The following is a 26,789-nucleotide window of genomic DNA, read 5'->3' on the forward strand; positions in this document are numbered from 1 at the left end:
ATCACATGAGTCAATGCTCCTTAATAAACTCCCTTTCATGTATACATCTATCCTATTAGTCCTGTCCCTCTAGAGAACCCTAATACAATTGACATAATATTAAAGATCTTCCTCCTCTTTCAATTTTGCATGAAATTTTATTTCTTTGCATTAAGAGGTTTTCCACTCTATTTGATGCTAGAAATTCCCCATGAATTGCAGAGATAGTTAGGGCCAAGAGGTGTTTCTTAGAACCTCCTAAGCCAGTTTGGGTTGATGGCTTGGGAGTTAGGAAGCTTTGACTCTCATTTCAACTCTGCCAATCAACATGTCCTGTGACCTTGACATGCCACTGCCTCTCTTGGGCCTCTATCCTAATCTAAAACCCTCATTTAGTAGATGAGAATATATAGTTTTTCTGAAAGTGTGGTATGCTTAGCACTGGAGGCATCATGAAGCATAAAAAAACACAACAAAGGAAAAGGATTTTATTAAAAAGGTTATCTTTTGTTTGTGTCTGATACTGGTTTTCAATTTCATGGTGTATGAATTTGCTAGGGCTGATGTCACAAAGTATTGCAGATGGGGTGGCTTAAATAACAGAAATTAATTTTCTCATGATTCTGGAGGCTAGAAGTATGAGATCAAGGTATTGGCGAGGGTGATTCTTTGAGGTCCCTTCTCCTTGACTTGTAGATGGCCATCTTCAAGTTCATATGACATTCTCCCTTTATGAATGTCTGTGTCCTAATCTCCTCTTCTTATAAGGAAACCAGTCCTATTGGATTAAGAACCATCCCAATAATCCCATTTAACTTATTAACCTCTTTAAAGACCCTTCCTCCAAATATAGTCATATTCTGAAATACTGGGGATTAGAACTTCAAAATATGAATTTTGAGGGGTCTCAAATTAGCTCATAAGACATGGTATTTATATGTAGATAAAATTTGTTTCAAAATATGGCAAAAATATAAGTCAATTTAAAGGAAGAAACTTTTAATAATACATTCATATAGCAAAATTATGAAAGTGGTACAAAAATGGCAATTTCTCTTATCTATTGATGGGTAACGAGCTGTCTCAACATTTGGTGGCTTAAAACAGCCATTTTATTTTGCGCATGGTTTTGTGGGACAGGAATTCAGGAAGGGCTCAGTGGGTAATTTCTGTTTGATTCACTTGGGGTCCACTAGGGCAACAGGATCCACTTCCAAGATGGCGTCTTCACTCACATATCTGGAACCTCGGTGCTCCTTGTCCTTCACGCTCCATTTGGTGCCTTATTTTCCAGGCCCTCTTCCCTCAGGTAGCCTGGGCTTTCTCACAGCATGGTGGCATCAGGGTTGTAGGATTTCTTACAAGGCACTGACTTGTAGAAAGTTTTCAGGAGCTCCGAATGAGGAGATTCAAGGGCTCTGACGACCAACCGTCGGCTGTCCCAGTACGTCACTTCTTCCACATTCTAATGGTCAGAGTAGTCACTAAGGCCAGTCCAGGTTCGCGGAAGGAAAATTAGATTCCACGTCTCTATGGGAGGACTAGCCACACTAAGCCACTGCGCTGGTTTAGAACTGTCTGAAGTCCCTCCTAGAGGTCGTGTGTTTGATTCTGCATCTCCGTGATTTGTGAATCTTGCATCATTTAAATTCAGCCTTACACACTGATGCCTTTGGTGCCGTCCCAATATTTAGGTAGCAAACTCGTAGTGGGTAGAGATTCAGGCTTAAGCTTCCAGCCTGGCTCTGAGGAGAACTGTCTGGGGCTCCCTGCCCTCTTCCCCATGGATGAGACTCTTCCCAGCCTTGGGCAAACACAGCGGGGAGCTGGCACCATCTCCCGCTAGACACCTCCTCCTTTTCCTCTTGCCCTTACCATGACTCCCGAGTTATTCTCAGAAGTAAAAGCTTTCCACGCCTGCTCTTCTCTCCTGCAGCCAGGAGTGCAAATTTAGATATTGGAGCTGCTCAGGCAGAAAAATGGCCCTGGAATCAGGGAAGCAGAAACCTGCAGCTGCCACGAAAGGACCGCGGAGATGAAGACCCGGAAGCTTGCATGTGTTGAAGCCCGGGGTGTGGGGGACTGTGGTCACGTACTCGAGGGGGCTTCAGAGACCTCTGGGAAGCCCTTTCTGCCCACTCGAAGCCTGCCCCTGTGCCTGACAATCTTCCATCGGGAGCGATGTCATAAAGAAGAAATGGAATTCAGTGGGAAGAGTGGTGGACTCGGGGACAAAAGATCTGGGTTTGCGCCCTGGCTCTGACCTAACTCACCAGCATTATTGGAGGCACGTTAGGTAGGTGCTTGTCAGAGTCCTGCGTTCTAGGTGCTTTACAGGTGTCCACTTACTGGATCTTCATAACACACCTATGAAGCAGGGAGTGTCATCTCTATTTCACAGCTGAAGAATCTGAAGCTAAGTGTCATGTTTGTGTGTGGAGTGAGAGAGGGACGCCGAGAGAGGGAGAGTGAGAGGGAGAGAGGGAGAGTGAGAAGGAGAGAGAGAGAGGGAGAGGGAGAGAGAGAGAGTGAGAGGGAGACAGAGAGAGAGGGGGTGGGGCAGTGGATAGGGGGAGGGAGGAGGAGAGGAGGAGGGAGGAGGATAGGGGGAGGGAGGAGGAGAGGGGAAGGAGAGGGGGAGGGAGGAGGAGAGGGGGAGGGAGGAGGAGAGGGGGAGGGAGGAGGAGAGGGGGAGGGAGGAGGAGAGGGGGAGGGAGGAGGAGAGGGGGAGGGAGGAGGAGAGAGAGGAGAGAGGAGAGAGGAGTGATGGGGGAGAGGAGTGATGGGGGAGAGAAAGAGTGATGCGGGAGAGAGGGAGAGGGAGGAGGGAGAGGGAGAGGGAGGAGGGAGAAGGAGGAGGGAGAGGGAGAGGGAGGTGGGAGAGACAGAGAGACGGAGAGAGGGAGAGACAAAGGAGGGAGAGACGGAGGAGGGAGAGAGGGAGGAGGGAGGAGAGGGAGGAGGGAGAGGGAGGAGGGAGGAGGGAGAGGGGAAGAGGGAGAGGGGAAGAGGGAGATGGAGTGATGGGAGGGGGGAAGAGGGAGATAAAGGGAGTGGGGGAAGGGGGGAGAGGGAGATGGAGAGAGGGGAGGGGGATGGGGAGGGAGGGAGGTGGGGGAGGGGGATGGGGAGGGAGGGGGACATTTCAAACTTGAGTGGTGCACCTAGTGATGGAACACAATTGAATCATTCAGGTGGGGAAACAGGCCCCCAAAGAGGGGCTTTCTTCCACAATAGTTTGATAACTATTTTAAAATATTATTTTCTAGAACAATGTTTTTCTCCAGAGGAAAAATAAGGCATTTAGGTTTATAAACTTGGACAGTACAAATAAGAATAAAGAAGGTCAAAAATTACCTTTATTGATCTTGCCATTCAGGTAAAACCATAGCACATTACTTCAATGTATGACAGGAATGATGTAAAATGCAGATTTTTTTTTTTTTTTTTTGAGATGGAGTCTTGCTCTGTCAACTAGGCTGGAGTGCAGTGATGCAATATTGGCTCACTGCAACCTCTGCATCCCAGGTTCAAGCAATTCTCCTGCCTCAGCCTCTGGAGTAGCTGGGATTACAGGCACGCACCACCACGCCCGGATAATTTTTGTGTTTTAGTAGAGATGGGGTTTCCCTATGTTGGCCAGGCTGGTCTTGAACTCCTGACCTCAAGTGACCCACCCACCTCAGCCTCCCAAAGTGCTGGAATTATAGGCATGAGTCACTGTGCCTGGTCAAATGCAGATGTTTTAAATAAAAAGACAGATCATGTCTTACGTGATTGTTTCCCATCTGCTTTTTAATGAACCTTTGAACATTTCCTTTCCAAATCAATGTTCTGTGACATTGGTTTAAATGGCTTCTTATATATATGTAATATATATATACATATATATATTCATTATATAAATCAATTTAGTCAATCTTTTGTTTTTGGACATTTGTGTTGTTTTAAATTTATCTTACCAATGTTGAGATGAAATAAGTCAGTTGCTTCCTTCCAATCTTCCCTCCCCTTCCCCCCTGGGGATCAGTTGGCTTTCTGTCTGAATGGTTTTCAGGTGAGACAACATTTTGCCACAAGGGGTCCTCCACACTCTTTAAGCAGAAGAAACTGTTTGCCCACGTTGAAAGGGATTTGGAGCAAGAGAAACTCTGGTTTGCATCCCAGCGTTGCCACTTGCTCTCCCTGAGACCTTGGACAAGTGATTGGGCCTCTCTGCACCTCAGCTTTCCCTGGGGAGAACCATCATTTACCCACCTTATCTCATTTTCATAACAATCTTGCAAGAAAAGTGCACAGCACAGTGCCTGGTGGGCGCTCAGGAAGTAAAGGTTTTTCATCTTATTAGTTCTACTCCAGCTCCTTCCTGGAAAAGTGAAATTTACAATAGCTCATGGGGTGGTGGGAGAATTAAATGAGATCACACATGTAACGTACCTAGCCAATAGTTTTAGTTGATTGGATTTGAGACCTGGTCTCACTGTTGCCCAGGCTGGAGTGCAGTGGCATGATCACAGCCCACTGCAGCCTCCACCTCCTGAGCTCAAGTGATCCTCTCTCCTCAGCCTCTCAAGTAGCTGGGACTACAAGTTACACACCTGTAGTCCCACCATGCTCCACTAATTTTTTTTTCTTGGTAAAGATGGGTTTTCTCCATGTTGCCCCGGCTGGAACTGTTAACTTTAAAAATTATTACTACATAATATTTTTATTATACAGAAAGCGGTAAGAGATAAATTAGGCTAAACCTTTGACAGGAGGTCAGAAGGGACAGTGACTTCTCTTTGGGCCTGGAAGTTGACTCTTCCACCCCAACCCCGACTTCAGCACACTTCCCAATGTTATCAGCAAAGCAAGTCCTGAATGGGACTGCCAGAGATGCCCAACTCCAAGAGCAGCTATTCACATAGACTCCTAAGAACGCAATAGAAATGGCACTCCTCACAGGCACGCGGCAAAATGGCCCAGCTCCTCATCCATTCTCTCAGAGGACCAAGTACCAACTCCTGCAGCACAGAAATCCCTTTCAACAGTTCTAGCCCATATGGTCTTTTCTTGAAGAAATTCATCCAAGTGGCCCTAAATTTTACAGACACTTCCCATCTGACATCAGCTCTGCAAGGGGTAGCAATAGAGTGACACTTTTCCAGCCTCCCTGTCAATCATGGTGGCTGTGTTGGGAGACTTAGTTATCTGCAGAGCAAGGATTTAAAACCAGGTCCAGTCTGAGTTCAGCACCAGAGCTCTTATCTAGTATTCGAAGGACAAATTACTGACAAGAGTACATGCTTAATATTGGCTCTGTTCATATGTGTGAGAATATATACAGAAAATAGTATATAACATAGATAAGAGAATATGAGTCCATATACATCTTTTTTAGCATTTTTGCTTTTATTTGACATAACTGCACATATTTATAGGGTACAGTGATATTACAATAGTTATGCAATGTATAATGATCAAATCAGGGTAATTGACATAAAAATCACCTTAAACATTGATCATTTCTTTGTGTTGGGAACATTCAAAATCTGCCCTTCTGGCTATTTGAAAATATACAACAAATTACTATCACAGTCACCTACAATGCTATAAAACACTGGAGCTCATTCCTCCTAGCTAGCTGTAACTTCGTATCCATTCACCTACCTTGGGCTATCTCCACCTGCACCCCTGACCCTTCCCATCCTCCAGTAACCACTATTCTACTCTACAAGATCAACTTTTAGTTCCCACATGACAACATGCAACATGCAGTATGTCTTTTCATGCATATGATCTTTTAGTTATAACCACTCTGAGAGGTACCGTTATGCCCATTTCACAGAAGAGCAAACTAAGGCCTGGAGATGACAGGTGACTTATTTCAGAGTCCATGCTCTTAGCTGTAAGCTCTGCTATGTAAGCGCTCAGCCATGGTGGCTGTTATCATGGGAGGCTCTGAAGGAACTCTAAATAGGCAGCCACGGGGGTCCTCCGCTTGGATGCCTTTTAACTGATCTTCTGCCAGGTGGGGGCACGGAGCTGGGTTATCTCACCATGGCCTTTCAACCTCTCAGAGAACCGGGGTCAGGGCAGGGGCAGCAGGCCTGCTGAGAGCTGGTGGGCTGAGCAGCGTGGGCTGTGTCAATGTGAGATGTCCCAGGAGGACCAAGGAGGTGAGGCCCTGCAATCCACATGCCTGCCCAGGAGAACAGGAGGGAAGAGGGAAGCTGGAGGCTAGGAATGAGGCTTGCTCCACCTTCCTGCTTCAACCAGCAGCTCCCAACATTTCAGTTTTAAAGTTTACCTTTGTAACTTATTCAATATTACAAAGCTGTATCTTTAAGGAAAAGTAATGCAGAGAGCTATACTGTCCAATCACTCAGGACTAACCAGTCATCATCTTTTGATGTATTACTTCCCCCACTTTTCTCCATTCTTATGTAAACATGCATACATGTAGGATTTACCCACTTTGGCAAAAGTGAGATTGCCGGCCAGTCACGGTGGCTCACATCTATAATCTCAGCAATTTGGGAGGCTGAGGTGGATCACTTGAGCCCGGGAGGTTGAGGCTGCAGTGAGCTATGATCACACCACTGCACTACAGCCTGGGTGAGAGAAACCCTGTCTCAAAAAAAAGAGGGGGGAATTTGCACTGTATTGTTATTCTGCAGTGTGTGTTTTTTGCTAATACATCCCGGACACATTTTCAACATAGAATTCATGGGTCTCTTTTTAACAGTCGCATGGTATTCCACACCAAGGGTGTCCAATCTTTTGGCTTCCCTTGGCCATATTGGAAGAATGGTCTTGGGCCACACATAAAATAAAATACGCTATCGATAGCTGATGAGCTAAAAAAAAATCATTGTGAAAATATATTTTAAGAAAGTTTACAAATTTGTGTTGGGCCACAAAAGCCATCCTGGGGTGCTTGCAGGCCACAGGTTGGACAAGCTTGTTCCACAGTCCAGACGGATCACCACCCCCAGCCTCTTCCTTACGGATGGACGTGCAGGTCATGCCCAGTTCTTTGGATGTTATAAGATGGGCTACAGTCAACACCACTGTGTGCCTGTCGAGTACTTACTATTGTACTTACTATTGCTAGGCTAGAGTTCTGCTGGGTCAAAGGCCATGCAATTTTGGAATTTTAGAGTTCACTAGATTGCTTTCCAAAAGAATGAGCAACTCACACTTCCTGATAGTTCTTTGAGAAACTCACTTCTACATAGCTTAAGTGTTGTGGGAGGGGGAGGAGGGAGGATCAATGAATTGAGTAGACAGAAGTCTTAAGTATAAAGAGTTGGCAGTTTTCATGTAACGTGCTGTCAGAAGAAAGTCCTTCTGACTGGAATATTTCATTCTCCCTTTAAAACACTGCAAACGACCACTTCATTTCACAAAAGGGAGATAGGATTTATAAGGAGACCTCCACCTGGTCCTGGGACTAGGACAATAATGACCAGAGGGACAGCCGTCTGGGGGTGGGGTAGGCTACAGCACACGTTGCAATAGATTGATGGTCACAAGAGATGAAAGCAATGAAACTTCCCAGGGGGCATTGGAGTTGCTTTGGCCTCACCCACAGAGACAGAAGTGTCTGGGACTTTATGTTCTAGGGCAGCCCCCCATGCAGTGACTGACTGGTGGGGACAATAGAAGCTCAGGTCCCTTGCTGGGAATCAAGACCTATTAAGAGGCTACACTGTGCCCCACAGCACCCTGCAGGATCAGGCTCAGGCTGGGATTTGCCTGAAATCATACCCTTGCTGGAATTCTACCCTTTCCTATCCTGCTTCCCCTCTCCCTTCCCAGTTCCTCCTGGAGACAATCCATTGATAATTCCCTGGCACACAACTCCTTGTCTCAAGGTCTGCTTCTGGGAGAACTGGAGGGATGATGACAGTGTCAGGAATGCTCTCTTTAGGGGAGACACCTTCATTCAGCAGTCATTCAACAGAAGAGTCAAGGGAACCTCAAACTCCCCTCTACAGCTGCAGGGGAATCAGCTTCCCAAAGGGGTTTTCCATTGGGGAACAGGAACCTTAGATGCAAGGGGATGAGAATGGGGAGCATACAGGTTCTAAGCAGCAGCCTGAAGAGATAGTTACCACCCACCCACCATTTACTAGCTCTACAATCATGCAAAACCTTATTCTCTATAACCTGCAATTTCCCACCTTAAAAATAGAATAAGCAGCACCTGTCATGAAGAATTAAGAATGCACTTCGTACTTGTTTCTATGGTGTGTGCTTTGGCAGAAGATGTGGGATCAGATCATTCCATCATTCACTGTCCCCAAGTGGGGACAACTTCACCCCCTCAGGACTGTCATGAAGATTACTCAGAGGATCAGGTTCACAGCCTTGCAGAGAGTAGGTGCCCAGATGAGCCATCACCCACGCTCAGAATCATAACAGTAGAAGTACCCTAGATGCTGGACCAGGAGAGAAATAGACAATTTGTTTAAAAATTCAGTAAGAGCATTTTCATTATGCAAATAATTACATAATTGAAATGTATAAAGGGCAAAGAAATAAAGCCAAAGTATCTCTTGACTCTTCCCCAAAGACTGTCACCAGTTCTCCAGTTTTTTTCAATGCATTTTTATATTTCAAATATATACACCTAGACAGCCTCAGAGGCATGATTTTTGAAAGAGGATCATTTTCAAAATATTTAGAATTACAGGTATTTTTAATGTAGTGCATCTCAGAATAGGGTGAACATTTCCAGCTTCAGTGTATCTGGCTTAGTTAGCATGCTCCTCTTGTAGGATACCATTCAGTGTTTATTTAATCACTCCTTGATGGACACGTAGGTGGCTGCCAACTCTCCCTATTAGTCATCCTGCACATAAACATCTTTGTGCTTGTTTTGTGCATGTGTAGGTTTTTATGTGATGCATCTGTCAACTTCCCAAAGAAACTACTGGAGAAAAACCCTACATTAAAGTTCAGACTCATTGCAGTAAAGGAGAACCCCTGATAGTTTGAGGTATCTCACAATGGGGAATAGGGCAGGGTATTTGTGAGGTCTAAGGCTTGGGCTAATTTTTAGGGTGGGCCTTGACTAGGATTGGGCAAGCCTTCTGACATGGCTCTGGCCCAGTAAGGAGGGGAGTTGAGGGAAATCTTGATGAACAAGTTGTTAGTCTTGATTAGTCATCTAGCTTCATCTTTTAGGGGCAGGTAAATACCTAAGCCAAGGAAAAAACATTTGAGCTGCTTGTTTCAAGATATATCAGGGACAGACAGTGATGTTAATTTCAATTGTCAATGCCTACGAGTTTCCAGGTTAAAAGTTATGACTTTAGAATTGTCAGCAGATAGCAATAAAAAGACCAATGTTTAATTCGTTTTTATTAAGATCCTTCACAGAAAGCACATACTCACTGACTGTACCTATGGCAGCCCAGTCCCACTGCATCTTCCCACCAGATGCCATGGATTAGCACAGAATTATTTTGGAGAAGAGTTGGCAGGAGATAGTAAAATATAAAACAATGCAGTAATACAATAATTCCTTCCGGTCATTTTAGATACTCTCATAAGATCCCCGTTGGTACAGTACAGCTTCCCAGTTATACCCTAACCTATGTAAGGCTAATTATTCAAAAAGTTTTCAGAAAATTTTAGATTTACAAAAGCATCCCAAAGACAAGAGTTTCCATACTCCTCACACTTTCAATCGAACATCTTCCAAGACCACAGGACATTCATCAAAACTAAGAAACCAACCTCAGGACTTTACTGTGAATCCTGGACTTTATTCAGATTTCACAACTTTACTGCAGTGCCTTTCTCTGTTGTGAGATCTTCTTTGGGATTCTACATTGTGTTTGGTTCTCATGTATTAATATCTTAGTTTCTTCCAGTCTTCTCAGGTCAAAGCTTCCATCTCTCCCTGTTTCATGAACTTAACTTCTGAGGAGTACTGGTCAGGTGTTCTGTAGGATGTCCACCTGCTGTTGGTCTGATGCTTTTCACATGAGGATTCTGGGGTGATGCTTCCCAAGAAGAAGACCTGAGGTGAAGCATCTTTCTCGTCTCCCAGCCTCCTGCCTCCCAAATGGTATTGACCTTGATCACTCAGCTAAGGTGGCAGCTGCCAGATTGCTCCATTGTAGAGCTATAATTTTCATCCTTTTCTTATTTTTAGGGAGGTGGGGAGGAGAGAAAAGGAATATTAAGCTCCACCTCCTGGATGGGGTTGTATTGACTTATGTTATTTGGGTTTCTTCTGTAAGGAAGATTTGTCTCTTTCCCCCCTTAATTCCTTTGGTAAAAATAATTTCTCAACATCTGCTAAATAGCTTTCTCCAAGATGGATGAAGACATGCTCCATCAATTGGTACTTGCCTCAAAGTCGAGTTTTATTCAAGTTAAACTGAAGTCACTGCAAATTCAAGCAAGATCCCAATATCGACTAAGTTCCTTCTCAGAAGTCCTCCCCCAGGGTCAGGCAGAGGGGGAACTGGGTGGTGTTTCAGATGTGGCTTTTCAAGCTGTGGCCAGATTGGCAGCATCAGCATCACCTGGTAGGTTACAAATGCAGCAACTCAGGCCCCACTTGGACCTCCTGAGTCAGACTCTGCATTTTAACATGACTGTGACTTGTGTGCATGTCTATAGTTTGACAAGTGCTGTCTTAGAACCCTAGAGCCTCTGGGAACAGAGACAAGAAGGCGATCTTCTCCAAGCAGGGTGATCTCTGTTGCCAGCGTACCTGCCTTGGTTCACCCCTCCTGCATTTGTCCAGGTGGAAGATGATTAGGAAGGGCAGAGGAGAGGCAGGAACAGCAGATGGCTCTGAGACGAGCCTGGGGCTGGAGGGTTGAGTGAGGTGGGCAAAGAAGGGGAGAGTGCTGGCATAGCTGATGGATGACTGTGGTACCTGAGATGGCCCTGGGGAGTTGGATGAGAGCAGGGCCAGAGTGATTGATGGGCTGGGGTGGAGAGGCTGTGGAACAGCTGTAAAGAAAAAAAGGCTCTGGGTTTGGGAGTCTGCTATGGGTGGCAGCAAAACCCAAGAGCCATGAGAGAGAAAGTCCTCTTTCTGCAGCAGTGCTCACAAAGTCGAGTCTTGCTCTGTTGCCTAGGCTGGAGTGCAGTGGCATGATCTCAGCTCACTGCAACCTCCACCTCCCAGGTTCTAAGTAATTCTCCTTCCTCAGGCTCCCTAGTAGCTGGGATTATGGGCACATGCCACCACACCTGGCTAATTTTTGTATTTTTAGTAGAGACAGGGTTTCACCATATTGGCCAAAGCTGGTCTCAAACTCTTGACTTCAAATGATCCACCTGCCTTGGCCTCCCAAAGTGCTGGGATTATAGGCATAAGCCACTGTGCCCAGCCTCGATTCTCTTTAGAAGGTATTCTTTTATGGCATCAAGTACATTCACATGTTTATACAACCATCACCATCCAACTCCAAAACCATTTTCATCTTGCAAAACTGAAATTCTGTACCCATTAAGTACTAACTCCCCGTTCTCCCTCCCCCCTCATCCCTGGAAACCACCATTCTTTCTCTGAACTTGGCTACTCTAGGTGCCTCATGAGTGGAATTATACAGTCTCCAGCCTTCCGTGATCTTTCCAGCTTCATAACTGCCTTCTGACATGGATGAAGCAGGAAATGTTACTGCCTCAGGGAGATGAGGGGAGGGAGGGAGGGTTATGGGGGAAGTGACTTGCCCTGGGTCTCACATCTAGTGAGTATATAGCACACTCAATAGATTCAGGAAGCCCAGAGTCCTTCCTGGGTCTGCTGCTGTGTTAGGTCATTCTTGCATTGCTATAAAGAAATATCTGATACGGCTGACTCTCTTTTCAGACTCAGCCCGCCTGCACCCAGGTGAAATAAACAGCCTTGTTGCTCACACAAAGCCTGTTTGGTGGTCTCTTCACACGGACGTGAGTGAAATTTGGTGCCGTGACTCAGATCAGGGGACCTCCCTTGGGAGATCAATCCCCTGTCCTCCTGCTCTTTGCTCCATGAGAAAGATCCACCTACAACCTCAGGTCCTCAGACCGACCAGCCCAAGGAACATCTCACCAATTTCAAATCTGGACCCCACTGAAAATTGGACTGTTCAACTCACCCAGCAGCCACTTCCAGAGCCCCTGGAACTCTGGCCCAAGGCTCTCTGACTGACTCCTTACCAGATCTTCTTGGCTTAGCGGCTGAAGACTGATGCTGCCCGATCACCTCGGAAGTCCCCTAGACCATCATGGATGCCGATCTTCAGACAGGAATGTCAGGCCTCTGAGCCCAAGCTAAGCCATCATATCCCCTGTGACCTGCACGTACACATCCAAATGGCTGGTTCCTGCCTTAACTGATGACATTCCACCACAAAAGAAGTGAAAATGGCCTGTTCCTGCCTTAACTGATGACATTATCTTGTGAAATTCCTTCTCCTGGCTCATCCTGGCTCAAAAGCTCCCCTACTGAGCACCTTGTGACCCCCACTCCTGCCAGCCAGAGAACAAACCCCTTTGACTATAATTTTCCTTTACCTACCCAAATCCTATAAAACGGCCCCACCTCTATCTCCCTTTGCTGACTCTCTTTTCAGACTCAGCCCACCTGCACCCAGGTGAAATAAACAGCTTTGTTGCTCAAAAAAAAAAAAAAAAAAAAAAAAAAAAGAGAAATATCTGATACTGGGTAATCGATAAGGAAAGGGTTTAATTGGCTCACAGTTCTACAGGCTGTACAGGAAACGTAATAGCTTCGGCTTCTGTAGAGGCCTCAGGAAGCTTCCAATCATGGCAGAAGGCAAAGGGGGTAGCAGGCATCTTACATGGCAGGAGCAGGAGCAAGGGAGGGTGCTACATACTTTTAAACAACCAGATCAAGAACTCACCATCACAAGAACAGCACCAAGGGGAAATCCACCCCCGTAATTCAATCACCTCCCATCAGGCCCCACCTCCAACACAGGATTACAATTGAACATGAGATTTGGGAGGGTCACAGATACAAACCATATCAGCTGTGGAACATTCTGTTCCACCTACCCTCAACCCCCTTTTCCTCGGTGGTGTGTTGAAAAGAGGGCTTGGGCTGGAAACAAAAGGAATGGGATTTAAGGGCTCACATAGGTGGTGGAGGGGACCATCTCTGAGATTAAGATCCAGACAGGGGAATGAAAGATTAAAACTTTGAAATATCCCTAGCACCTGCCTTGGGACCTATAATAAAAAGATGCTTGGTCATTTGAGTGAATAAACTGGACTATTTTCTTCTTAATTTCAACTATTGATAAGAAAGAGTTTGCTAAGGCAAGAAGGGGATTCTGTTACAGTAAGATTTATAATAGAAATTTGGTGGCTGATATGGTTTGGTGTCTCCACCCAACTCTCCCAAATTGGAGGAGGGGCCTGGTGAGAGGTGACTGGATCATAGGGGTGAATTTCCTTCTTGCTATTCTCATGATAGTGAGTTCTCATGAGATGTGATGGTTTAAAGTGTGTGGCACTTCTCAATTCACACATTCTTTCTCCTGCTTTACACCATAGTAAGACATGCTTGCTTCACCTTCCGCCATGACTAAGTTTCCTGAGGCCTCCCAATCATGCCTATTAAACCTGCAGAACTGTGAGTCAATTAAACCACTTTTCTTCATAAATTACCCAGTCTCAGGTAGTTCTTTATAGCAGTGTGAGAACAGACTAATACAGTGGTTTTAGTAAAGATATTCAGTGCAAGTCTAGAAGGCATTCTTGGCCCTGAGCACCCAGGATTGTATAAGTGCATTACAAAATAGGTGTTTGGGTTAACCTTGTTATGCCTTGTGACTGTTTCATATTTACCTTTTTAAATAGAACCTCTGAAATGTACCTCAGAGGCAGTGTCAGTTGGGGACTTTTATCCTGTGCTCTGATCAAGACACTGTACATTAATTGCCAATCACACGCTTGTCTTTAAAGATGGGAATATTTAATTTCTTCCTACTTCTTTCCTCTAAAAGGCTTATTTTTCTAATCAAAATGCTTTTCTACCAGACCAGAGATTGGTAATTTTTCTGTAAAGGGTTAGATGTTAAATATTTTAGGCTTTGGGAGCCATATAATCCTTATTATGAGGACTCATTTCTGCTATTTTATTATGAAAGCAGCCACAGACAATATACAAATAGACAAGCATGGCTGGGTTCTAATAAAACTTTATAGAAGCCGGGTGCAGTGGCTCATGCCTGTAATCCCAGCACTTTGGGAGGCTGAGGCAGGCTGATCACTTGAGCTCAGGAGTTCCAGACCAGACTGGGCAACATGGTGAAACCCCGCTTCCACAAAAAAATTAGCTGGTCATGGTGGCACGTACCTGTTTTTCCAGCTACTTTCAGGGGCTGAGGTGGGAGGATCGCTTGAGCCCAGGAGGTCAAGGCTGCAGTGAGCCAAGATCACGCCCTTGCACTCCAGCCTGGGTGATAAAGTGAGACCCTGTGTCAAAACAACAACAACAAAAAACAAAACCCCAAAAACCCAGCTTTATAGAAACAGGTGGCAGGCCAGATCTGGCCCATGAGCTATAGTTGCTGACTCTTGCTCCAGATCATAAACTGCTTTATATTGGTCTACAGATCCCCAGGGTTTAAAATCAAGTAGGGATTCCAATCTCTGGAATCATGAAACATATTCTACTTTTGTTTACTAGTTGCCTTGAAAACTGCTTGATATGAATGACTGCAAGATCTGCTGTTAGTCCCCAGAGCTGCCTTTTACTTCTTTGGAGAAGCTGGGACTGAGGTAGGGACTGATGCAATGGCTTCCCCTCCTTTTATGACTTCCAGGGGAGCCCTGCTACTGGAAGGCCCAGCAGGAAGTCAGAGGTAGGAGAGAGAGGTCAGGGTATTTAGCCTCAGCCCAGCCTTCTCTTGCTGGCTGGGCCACTGGTTGGCCAGTAGCTGCTCCTCCACTGTCAGGCAGCCCTTTCCATATGGCTCTTTCCTCTATGTTCAGGGAACTGCACCCCACCCCTTTCCCCTTCATAAGTAGGGATGCAGTTTGCCAGCCCCAGGACAATTCTCTGCTTCCTTTTAGTGTCCCTGCTTACTCCCTTTCCACACCTTTGAGATGAGTTTAATGAAGGGATTTTATTTGAATATTCCATCTGCTTTCTGCTGGGACGCTGAATGCTAGGAATTAAACAGAAAACCCAGGCCATGCATTAAAGACTTCATACAGCTGACTCATAGGTGGGGATGAAGGAGCTGATGCATCTCAGGCTCTAAGATTCTCCCCAGTGGTCCCTGTTTCCTGGTGTTTGGGGCCCTTGTCAACCTTCTTTCTCCTCCTTGAGTATGAGTAGAACCTGTGACTTGCTCCTAGCTGGGAGTGGCAAAAGGGATAGGATGTCACTTCTATGGTTCTAACAACTGTCTTGCTAGCAAACCCCTCTCCTTGCTGTCTTTGATGAAGCAAGTTGCCATGTTGAGGTGGCCCACATGGCAAAGAACTAAGGGCAGCCTTCAGCCAACAGCAAGAAGCTGAGGTCCTCAATCCTACAACCTGCAAAAAACCAACACTTGCCAGTGATCACAGGGGCTTGGAAGTGGGTCCTTCCAGGGAACTTCTGGCAGACACCTTGATTGCAGCCTCATGAGACCCTGGTTCAAGAGGATTCAGTCTAGTGATATGCTGACCTGACTTACAGAAACTGAGAAAATAAATGTGCTGTTTTCAACTGAGTTTGTGGCAATCCATTAAGCAGCAATAGGCAACTATATGGCATAGTAATTGCCTCTCTTTCACAGATGAGGAAAATAGGGTTTGGAAACATGGACTAAGTTGCCCGAGAGACACAGCTAGGAACCTGCAGAACATGATCCCAGGGGTAACAGCCCTGGAGCTCACTGCCTCTCTCCTGTGTTTGTAGATTTCTATCAAGCAGATGTCATCTTGGGGCTCACTGTCCTTGGTGAATGACTTACATCTGAGCTTCTTCCTGCTCTACCCAGTACCTCCTGGGGAGCAGCAGGGGCCAGGGTTTGTAAGACAGCGTTCAGCTGTCAGCACTGGCATTTGTCAAAGGAAGTGGCTGCTCTTGGGCCCTGCCACCCTTCCCAAAGTGGACACTGCTTTTGAAAAGTGCTAATGTACAAACTTGTCAGGCCCAGCCTTCGGGGAGGGGAGGGCTGCAGCAGGGCTCTGGTGCTGGGGGACTGATAAGAGGCAGCACTGCTACAGGAGGCTGGGCATCTTTCCGTTGCTCACTTCTTTCTCCAAAGTACTCTTTGGCTGGGAGGTGGGTGAGAGCTGGGTCAGGGAGAACAGAGACCACTTCTTCAGATCTTTCTATTCTTAAGACCCAGAGCCAAACCAGTGAGGTTCTGGGTGGGAGAAGGGAGAGACACCTCTCTCTCTAGTGGAGACCAGTGTTAAGGGAATGAAAGTGCAGAGTTCATCTGCTAGATGATTACTTTATGTTACAGGGTAGGGGAAGAATGGGGCTTCATTCGAGCTACTGGAAGAATTAGGACCAAAATTTGAGAAGCATGCCCCTTTGAAAGCAAGCACATAAGTAGTTGGCTGCCTGGTTAAGTGTCAGGATGTTCCCAGGTCTTGTTTTATATTATTGTTCATCTCCACTTATTACAGAGATAGGCAATTCCAGATTAAAAACATACATAAGTAGCCTCTAATCAACAAAGGGGCAGTAGTTTTGTTGCCTAGAAACTGGAGGTACAATGGTGAACAAAACACCACGCCTGCTTGAGTGAATAAGTGGCTTCAACCATCTAATATTTAAACAACTACCAAGTGGCAGGCACCATGCTGGGCTCAAGGATACGGTGAAAAGACAGTCCTTGCATTTTTGAACTTACATCCTAGTGAGGGGAAAAATAAAATTACTGCATAACAAAGTACCCCAAAACTTGGTAACTTGAGACAACAATGATTGCTCATTTCTCATATTGCAGGTTGCGTATTTGGGCAGGGCTCAGCTGTGTGGTTCTTCTACCCTATGTCACCTGGAGTTAATGCATGCTTACATTTAGCTGGTGATTCAGATGGAACACTACGATGGCCTCTCACCCCCCAGGGTCTCTCTGTATGTGGCCTCTCATCATTGAGCGGTTCAGCTTGGACTTCCTTACAGCATGGCATCTGGGCTGCAAGAAGGGAAAGATGCAGCTGCAAACCTTAAGGGCTGAAGTCTCAAGACATCACCTCCACTACAATCTATTGGCTAAAGCAAATCCCAGGGCCAGTCCAGACTCAGGAGTAGGAGAAAATATTAATAACGCCTCTTGCTATGAAGAGTGGCAAGTGTATACAGGGAGGAGAGGAAGTGCCGGTGGCCATTTTTGGAAACCATTAACATATAATTGCAGATAGTGATACACTCAGCAATGAATATTAAGCCTAGTAAAGGGAAAGTCTAGAAGGTGAGTGAGCAATGCTGTTCAATTGAGGTATAGGTATGCTTTGAAGTTTTGGTAGAAATTGATATTTTGAAATGACATATTATGATTATTCAAGTATTAAATAATAAAAGTATTATCCTCATTTTACACATGAGGAAATTGAGAGGGAGGCAAATGACTTAAGATGACACAGCTAAGCTGGTAGTGGAGCTGGGGTTTGGAACCAGGACATGACTTCACAAGTCTCTTGTAATATTATCCCAGATGAAAATCTGACTCAATTGAGGTATTCCTTTCTTCACCAATTGACTGAAGTAGCTAAAGGGACAGACTTGTCACTACCTTTATGTGATCCCTGAACTTCTGATTTATAGGCAAAAGTTTTATTCTGATCAGATGACAGAATGAGTGAATATCTAGATTCAAAGCATCCTTTAGGTCCTAGAGAAGAGCTCCACAAGGGACAGATGAGTTAAGCCTCACATGTCCATTTCCATGGGTGAAAATTATCTGATGTTGGCCCTATTTGCAATAGCAAGCAAATGATAGTTATAGTTTAAAAATAGCCACTATACCTTGAACACACTGTCAAGATGACATGAGACTCCTGGGTCAGAGACAAAGGATTTTTGTTTTTTACTCAAAGCACAGCAAGCAGAATAAACATTGATAGTTTGAGGGTTCCCCCTTGCTGTCCAAGTTTTCCCATTCACCTGGGCACAGAGCAATCCAGGTGAATGCTACATATGTGGCAGGTTCACACCACAGCTGAGCTACCTTGAGCCTAGGGAACCAGACAAAGAACTGCAAGTAGTCCTGTCTGACCTGCCTGAGAAGCAACATTGTCTTTATTACACAGGACAACAAATGAATCTTCCCTCTGCTCTGAGGCTGTGGAGGGGGGTGGTGACAGTATTTACCAAGGCAGTTGATTATATAAACATTCTTGAAGAGGTAGTCCAGAACAAAATGTCAGTGCTTCTGCTCAGAAGACATGCAGGAATGTAAGTCGCCTATAGAGAATAGTCTCCCAACACTATGTCCCAGGCACTATTCTATGGACTTCAAGTGTTTAATTTAACCTTCACAGCAGTCCAATGAGTTAGGTACTGTTATCCCACTTTCTAGTTGAGCAAACTGACCTTGGGAGGGTCCCTTAACCTCTCTTCTCCCTAGCTAGTAAGTGCCAGACCAGGTTGGTATCCTCTACATTTGGTTTTCACAGCAATGTTCTTCACCACTGCATCACATGGTGGATAATGTAGCATCTGCTATTTATAGTCAACTTGCTAAGTATGTCATCTGAAAATTTAACAACAACCCTTTGAGGTGGCCATCAGGCTCCTTTTACAGAAGTTTTGGGTTACTGAGCAACTCATGCAAGGTCACAATAGCCAAGCTGGGATTTGAACCCAGGGCTGACTCAAGCCTTTCCTACCAAATGATGTTCTATTCTCCTTGTCCCTGCAAATCTACTGTAATAGAACTGGCAGGTGATAGAGTATCATTTGTCTTTTCTATTAAATACAAAAATAAGGCGGTGATGCCACAAGGGAGTATGAACCCACTTGTATAATATTGTGTCTCCTGCTAGACTGAATATTTCCTGATAGTAAAGTCATATCTTGCATCTTGGCCATGTACAGATTACTATCACTGAACCAGGAGCCACTAAAAGATATAGAACTTGGGGGTATCCCATTCGATTAAGGCAACTCATATACATGTATAGATTTCTGAATGTATGGGAAAAGGCAAGGAAGTCAACTCCAGTTTGGCTATTTCCATTTCCATTTTCTAAGGGCTTTCAGGAGGATTTATCTTCTGGGCCGGATCCTGCCTAGGAAAGGCTCATGCATCCTTCCTACAAAAGAGGCACTGACACTTCTGATTAAGGTAGGATAAGCTGTCACTTGTTGGTAAAGTTTCTACCAGTCTCTAACCCATTGAAGGAGAATATTTTGCTTTCTTCTCTCAGATCTTGTGGATGTGCTGTGGAAATGGAGAACCTTAACCATTGCATAGAATGGACTTGGGGCAAGTTCCTGAGCTATAAGTTACATAGCTCAGAAGTAGCAGAGCCAGGATCCAACACCTGTTTTGCCATACATCAAATGGGGACAATAGAAGTAACTGATATTAACCTAGGGCTGAAATAAGGCATGTCTGCTGCTTGGTGGTTGCAGTCACAGTCACAGGAAGTTTTAAAGGCACTGTAGCCAAGAGTTTGGCTTCCTCCTCACAGGTCTCTTGGGGTGGCCCTGTCCTCCCTCTTGTTTCCTTGGCACAGCAGGGTCTAGACCCTCTACTCAGCCATACACAGGAGCCAGGCTGCTGGAAAACATACCCCCAGCCCCAACTGCTTTGTCCAGTCTTGGGGGAGGTGGGAAATGTACACACCTAGAAGTGATGATGGTATTTCTCCTGCAGGTTCCCATGAAAAGCAGCATCCCAGTGAAGTCAAAGCCCTGGAACCATCCTCTTCATCTGTGTTGCTGCTGAGAGATCAGAAGTCTACCTCTGGAGATAGAATCCTTGTCTGCTGCTGGGATGGAGGGAAGTGCTAACATTCCACTAGAAAGTGGGTTCTTCCATGGAGGGACAGAATTTGATTCTTGCTGCTTATACAAAGTAGGTGTTCACAAGGCACTTGTGAACAGCTAGCTCTGCAGAACAAGTCTCCATCATCTCGTTGCAGGCTGCTTACCTGCTGGGAGTGGCATCCTGGGGCCTTCCTCTCTGGCCACCCTAGACTTTGGTTTTAATTGCTCCTGAGTCTCCCTTCTTCCTGCCGGCTGGCCCTGCGGTCTGTCACCTACGGGACGGCCAACGTCAGAGCTGGGTGACCTTTCAAAGACACCAGGATTTGTTTAATTTTCAGAATTCACCTCTCTTCATCCTTTTTATCAGAGGCAGTTAGGGCCCAGCTGGGGAGGCTATTTGGCATTTTTCCCTGTATTTTGAAACAGGTGGGCTGGGGCCTTCTCAAGTGGAGTCTTTTCAACTGAGAGAACTAGAAAGACAGACAATGATAGAATGGGGTGGGGGTGGAGTAGAATTACCAAGAGAACCAAACATACATTAAGTTATTTTAACACCTGACTCATTTTCATGAAAGTCTTCATTACTGCATCTTCTGTCTCCAAGGTTTTCTACACACATAATTGCAGCTTGTGTTTACAAAGTCATTACCACATGCCAAGCACGTCACATGTCTCGCTTCATGTAACCTTCACAGCAGCACCTTGAGGTTCTGTTATCTCCGTTTTACAGGTAGGTAAGGTTAGTTATTGCCCAAAGCCATACAGTGTGTTGAGGGGCCAGAGTTTAAACACAGCTCTGTAGACTCAGTCTGTCCACGAAGCAAGAGTATGTGCAAACCTCACCTGATCCTCACAATAACCTTGGAAAAGAAATGTATCCTCCCATCTGATAGAGTCCGAGTAGTCTCAGCTGCTATAATTGTTATTCCTTCTGTGCTCAACATTTGTTGGCTGGGTGACTTGAAAGCTGAAGTGAGAAAAACAGTACCTGGAACATGGAGTAAAAACCCTTTAACATATGGGAATCTACTAAACCCCATCAGGTCAGTGAAATAGGTACTATTATCACCATTTTACAGGAGAAAAAAAGGTAAGGCTCAGGGATGTGAAGTATGTCCAAGATCAAGTGCTGATGAGTGGTGGAAGCAGATTTAAGTGATGGCCATCTGACCCCACAGCCTACATTCTTGACTGCTGCATTACCTCCCTTCCTATGCATACAGACCATGGTTGGCTGGACCAACACAGAGGTCTTTCTCTAGTGGGGTCTTCTGGGGCTTAAACAATTCTGGATGCTCAACTGCAGGTGCTATGGAACCACATTTTGGTGTTTACCTTCCTTTTCCCTTCTGCCCTGACCAATCTAGATACCTGCTAAATCCCCCAATAAAGCGTAGGGATAGTTTGAGGCTTGTACAAATGGTTTCAATTGGAAAACTTCTTTGGAATAAGTGAGTAATTGTAGCAGGCTATTGCTACCGAAGCCAGGAAGAGAAGATATTTTTCTCAAAGGGATGCTTCAACAAGGTACTTGTGCTTGGGAATGATGGGCACAGACTCATCTGCTTTTCTGATGGAGAAGAATGTGTCAAGAGAAGCCTGAGGTCTTGTCACCTAGGCCCACTCATGAGGTAGGGATGGTGTAAGGTCTTGTTCAGTGGGAAGATAGGAGAATGAAGTTCTCAGCAAGAAGCCGCCAAAGGGCATAACTTGGGAGGACAGATGAGCAAAAGTTTCCTCTTTTGGCGTCTGGTTACCTTAGCTCAGAGATGTCCAGACTTCTTATATATGACCTAGAGGGTCGTATGAACTTAAAAACACAAAAAAGTAAGACTGAGATTGATATATTTCATCTTAGCTGATTTTAGTTTTCCAGCTTGACTTTATAATTGTTCCATTTGTTTTCTCTTCATTTCATACCATTTACCATCTTACCATTATGCCATTTACCATCTTAGGTTGTGCCTTACATAAGTTTTATCTTATTCTTTTGTGATTTTTAGTTTCAGAGGCCTCATTGAATAAAATTGAAGGTGGGCAAAGGAAAAACACTTAGTGAGCATATACCATGTGCTAGGCTCTATGCTAGGTGCTGGGGATACAACCCTGCAGAAGGCAGACACCATTCATATGTTTTGCCTTTCCCATTTGCCTTGGGAAGGTTGTAAAGTACATGTCAATTACCACTGTAAGCAGCTCTAGCAAGGGAGTACGGGGTTTTCCAAGAACACATATCTAGGGGTCTCAACCTAGTCGAGGGAGTTGTTTTACACTAATTCTGTTATTTTAACCTTTTCTAGTTTTATCCATCCCTTTAATTGGCTTTATTTTATCATTTGTTTGGAATATTGTCCATTTGGAATTTTATTCCTGCTTGATGGACTGGCAGGCAGGAAATGTGGATGTGAGGGTGGCTGCCACAAGGATATTCCTCACTCTAATCATGTATTCCTTCCAGCAAACCTCAGCAACCCCCCACAACACATACACTCCTTTCAAAATGTGGCTGTGGATCCGAGTTAGAATAAAACTACCTCAACATTTATACCTTAACTCCTGGGACTAGGTTTTCCAAACATCTTTTTGGTGGGGAGATATCTTGGTGGTGGTGGGTGGGGGGCGTGCAATGTGGTGGTGGTGGGGGATGGGCAACGTGGTGGGGGTGGGGGATGGGCAACGTGGTGGGGGTTGTGGTGGTGGGGGCAACGTGGTGGTGGTGGTGGTGTGGGGGGCAACATGGTGGTGGTCGTGGGGGGTGGGCAACGTGGTGGTGGTGTGGGGGGCAACGTGGTGGGATGCTACATATTCCAAATGTCCTCATAAAAGCATCTGACTTTTGACTGCTTACCATGTGCCATGATCTGATCTTCACCACGACTCCAACAGTAAGGTGCTATTATTCCCATTTTCAGAAGGAAGAAACTGAGGCCCAGCAAGGTTGAGCAACTTACCCAAGATTAAAAGACTAGCTATTAATGGAGTTGGCACTTGACTCATGCAGTCTAATTTTAAAGTACAAGCTGTTATTTCCAGCCCCTGCATTGCCTCCCTAGATCCCTAAGCATGAGGCCAGCCTTATAATGGTCTACAGTTACAGAAGCCACAGAGCCATACCACCGTACTTTGAGAATTGAGTCAACTCCTATAGGAAGAGTTATTCTTCACCTACGGGATATGTCCTTGTGCTATACACTCTAGGGGATTCAGTTGAGGAACTGAACATTGAAGGTAACAACTTACTGAGAACAAGGTGGAAAGTAAGATCTGAATCTGCCCCCTCCCAGTGTGACTTGGGTGAGCCTCAGCTTGTTTATCCATTAAATGGGGGGTCCTATAACCTCCCCCTCAGAGACACAGTTTGAGGATCAAATGAACAGAAAAAGGGGGGTACAGGTGTGTGACTGAATGTGGGAATTTCTTTTAGGTAGACAACAGTTATGAGAGGTGTTTGTCAGCAGACATTCTCATGTACTGCTGGAGTGTCTAGCCTGCTTTGGAAATCAGGTTGATATCATTTGAGAAAAATCAATGTAAAAACCTCTGTGCTGTGTGGCACAGTAGTTCCGCCCCAAGCCCCAGGAGACAAGTCCAAGGACACCCATAGCAACATTGCTCATGATAGCCCCCAAACAGAAATCAAATTCCCAAAGTAGAAGAGACAAGTTGTGGCTTATTCATATAATACTGTAAAGACCTAATTAGAAGAATCAAACCATATAGTGTGGTAGATTCTGGAGTAGGGAAGGGCTATAATGTAGACACACTTTAAAGGTTAGCCTAACAAGAGCATGGTGACCAAGATGGATAGGGAGTCCTTGGCCTCTGGTTTCATACTAGGGAGGTAATAGACTAGACCTTTTACATAGAATTAAGGTGTTAAGCATTGAGGGGTCATTGATAGAAAAATCAATACCAGGGGCTTGACATTGACAATGTTCCCAATAAGCAGTAGCTGAGTCCAGCATCTCTCCCTGGATACCACCAACCAAATGCTTTTTACTCCAACCTGGGTAGCCCATATGAAATTGAATAAGGAAAAAATAATAAAAAGAAGTATTTGTGGAACTGGAAAAAAAGGTGTTTAAGAAATAATTGGAGAACACAATAAAACAAAACATGCTTGTATTTTAATGGATCTGGGCAAAGTAAATTGAAAATCTTCTGGAAAGGATTCATATTCTAGATGCCATTAAGACTATTCATGATTCACGAGAGGAGGTCAAAATATCAACATTGTCAGAGTTTGGAAGAAGATGATTCCATCCCAAATGGATGACTTCAAGAGGTTCAAGATTTTAGTGGAGGAAGAAACTGCAGATGCGGTAAAAATAGCAGGAGAACTAGAATTAGAAGTGGAGCCTGAAGATGTGACTGAATTGCTACATCTCATGATAAAACTTTCACAAATGATAAATTGCTTGTTACGGACAAGCACAGAAATTGCTTTCTTAAGATGGAATCTGCTTCTGGTGAAGATGCTATAAACATTATTGAAAGAATCTGCTTCTGGTGAAGATGCTATAAACATTATTGAAATGACAACAAAGAATTTAGATTATTACATAAAGTTAGTTGATAAAGCAGTGGCAAGGTTTGAGATGACTGACTCCAATTTTGTTTTTAAATTTTCTTAGTCTTTTAAAAAAGATTTTAAAATTATTATAGTTGTACATATTTGGAAGCATTTGTGATATTTTGATACTATGTAACATGTAATGATCAAATCAAGGTTATTGGTATATCCACTACCTGAAACGTTTATCTTTTGTTCTGGGAACATTACAATTATCTTCTTCTAGTTATTTGGAAATATAAAATAAATTATTGTTAACTATAAAAAAAAGAAATTGAATAAGGAGAAACTTAGACGTTGTACCAGCTCTGATGGCAGAGACCTCCCACCCATGGTCACTCTTAGTTCTGCTCCCTGGAGACACGTGGGAAGCTTGAAGGAGTTTCCAAGATGGCGGTCTTCATCTTTGATGAGCTTTTACCACCTCTCATCTCTCCTTGCTTTATCCTCAAATGGGAAGGCAATATAGTGTGATGGTTATAGCCCTTCATCTAGAGTCAAGTGGCTCAAGTTTCACATAGAACCTACGTTAGTTGTGTCATTTTGGCAAGTTATTTAACCTTGTGAAGCAGTTACTTCTGTCTCCCCTTATAGATGAGAAACCTTCAGAGAAGCTGTCATGGAGATTAAAGGTAGGGTATAATCTATTTGGCACAATGTCTGGCATGCAGCTAGGGTAAGAGTTTTTACTACAATGGCTCAAGTTATGCTACACATTAGAATTACCTGAGCAGCTTTAAAAAGCCACCCTGATGCCCTGGTCACATCTCATACAAAATCAGTGTCTGGGATTGGAAGCCAAGCATCAATACTTTAAAAAATCCGAGTGTGTAGCAACGTTTGGAAGACACTGATCATAATTTTCCCAAAGCAGGTTTTAGGTGCCTTGAGTTTTCCTGATTTGGGGCACTCAGCCACCTGCCTGCAGACTCCTATTCCTTTAGTAGCTCTGGCTTCAAATATTTCCTGCATAGGTGTGAAAGATGGACTCAGCTGCTCTGAGACTGAACTCAGCTGTTCAGTCTCCTTTGCCGCTTGGCAAATAATAATAATAATAAAAACACTGCCAGCCTTTCCTGCTGCAGTCAATGGTACCACCAAATGCTCAAACTTGGGAGGCTACCTTAACTTTTCCATGTACTATATTCAGTCAAGTTCCTTCTATAATCCTTCATTGCTGTCTGTCAAGGAGAGTGAGAGAAGCAAATGTACTCATCCAAAGCCACAGTGATCAACCATCGTCCCCCCATCTAGGCAACTTCAGTAATCTACTTCCCTTCCTGGCCTTTGTTCCCAGGTACCAGCCAGCCACATGGGTCTTTTAAATGCACAGTTCATCACTCCTGTGCCTTAGGTCCTCGAGGGCTTCCCATTGCCATCTGGATAAAGACCAAATTGCCAATCCTGTCCTAAAAGACTACAGGGCCAGCTTCTCTAGACTCATTCTTATCCCTTGAATTTCCAGCCTCTAAAGGGAGTTGCTTTTAATTCCTTGAATGCTTCAGCCTCAGGACCTTTGCACAGGTTGTTCTGGCCACTGTTATCTCTACACAGCTTTCTCTGAAGACTTTAGTTGTCACCCCATAGCTGCTGTTAAGTGCTTTCAGTGTTAACTCATTTGATACTATGAGGCAAACCTTATTACCCTAATTTTATAGGTGAGGAAACTGGACACAGACAGGTTGAGCTGCTTTCATTAAGTTAAGGGCACAGCACCAGGGAACTAAAGAGCTATAACTTGACCTTGAGTAGTCTGGTTCCAGAGCCTGAGGTCTTGGCACAACCTTGCACTGATGGATACAGAACGTCACAAGTTTTTTGCCCCTAAGTCACAACTGACTTTACCCCTAGATTCCTAGAGCCTTGCATGCAGTAGACACTTAATGGTTTCTGAATAATCTCCCAACAATGACAGAAAACCACCTCTCCCCATTCCTACATTAGCTCAGAAACCACCTCTTCTTATTCCTACATTGGCTCAAAAACCACTTCTCTGCATTCCTATGTTGGTTCAGAAACAAAACCAAGTGGAAGCCGAGGTGGTCCAAGCTCTCAGTCAAGGGTCCCCCACCCCCGGGCCACAGCCCAGTACCAGTCTGTGGCCTGTTAGGAAGTGGGCCACACAGCAGGAGGTGAGCTGTGAGTAGGTGAGCAAAGCTTCATCTGTATTTATAGCTGCTCCCCTTGGCTGGGGTTACTGCCTGAGCTCCACCTCCTCTCAGATCAGCAGTGGCATTAGATTCTCATAGGAGTGCGAACCCTATTGTGAACTGCCCACCTGGGGGATCCAGAGTGCATAATCCTTATGAGAATCTAATGCCT

At 44.7% G+C, this 26,789-nt stretch overlaps 1 long non-coding RNA gene across 6 annotated transcripts, besides 1 other annotated feature; it reads left to right on the plus strand.

The window, feature by feature from the left end:
- Positions 1-994: 994 nt before the first annotated feature.
- LOC105369993 (uncharacterized) lies at positions 995-20,982 on the plus strand. 6 transcript variants are annotated; one of them, XR_945352.2, is made up of 6 exons: positions 998-2,275; positions 9,849-10,045; positions 10,287-10,511; positions 14,639-14,730; positions 16,905-17,372; positions 19,154-20,982. It is a non-coding gene; the product is annotated as an uncharacterized LOC105369993 (long non-coding RNA). The 6 variants fall into 6 exon arrangements; XR_945353.2 differs by having other exon boundaries at positions 9,849-10,002; XR_945351.2 differs by having other exon boundaries at positions 995-2,275; positions 9,849-10,511.
- Positions 15,837-16,205: an enhancer, noted in NCBI's record as "CRE2". NCBI's record gives its function as "enhancer in the ventricles, atria" and the evidence as "EXISTENCE:transgenic organism evidence [ECO:0001131][PMID:22543974]".
- Positions 20,983-26,789: the final 5,807 nt, after the last annotated feature.

The sequence above is a fragment of the Homo sapiens genome, chromosome 12, assembly GCF_000001405.40.
Source record: "Homo sapiens chromosome 12, GRCh38.p14 Primary Assembly".
Taxonomy (NCBI): domain Eukaryota; kingdom Metazoa; phylum Chordata; class Mammalia; order Primates; family Hominidae; genus Homo; species Homo sapiens.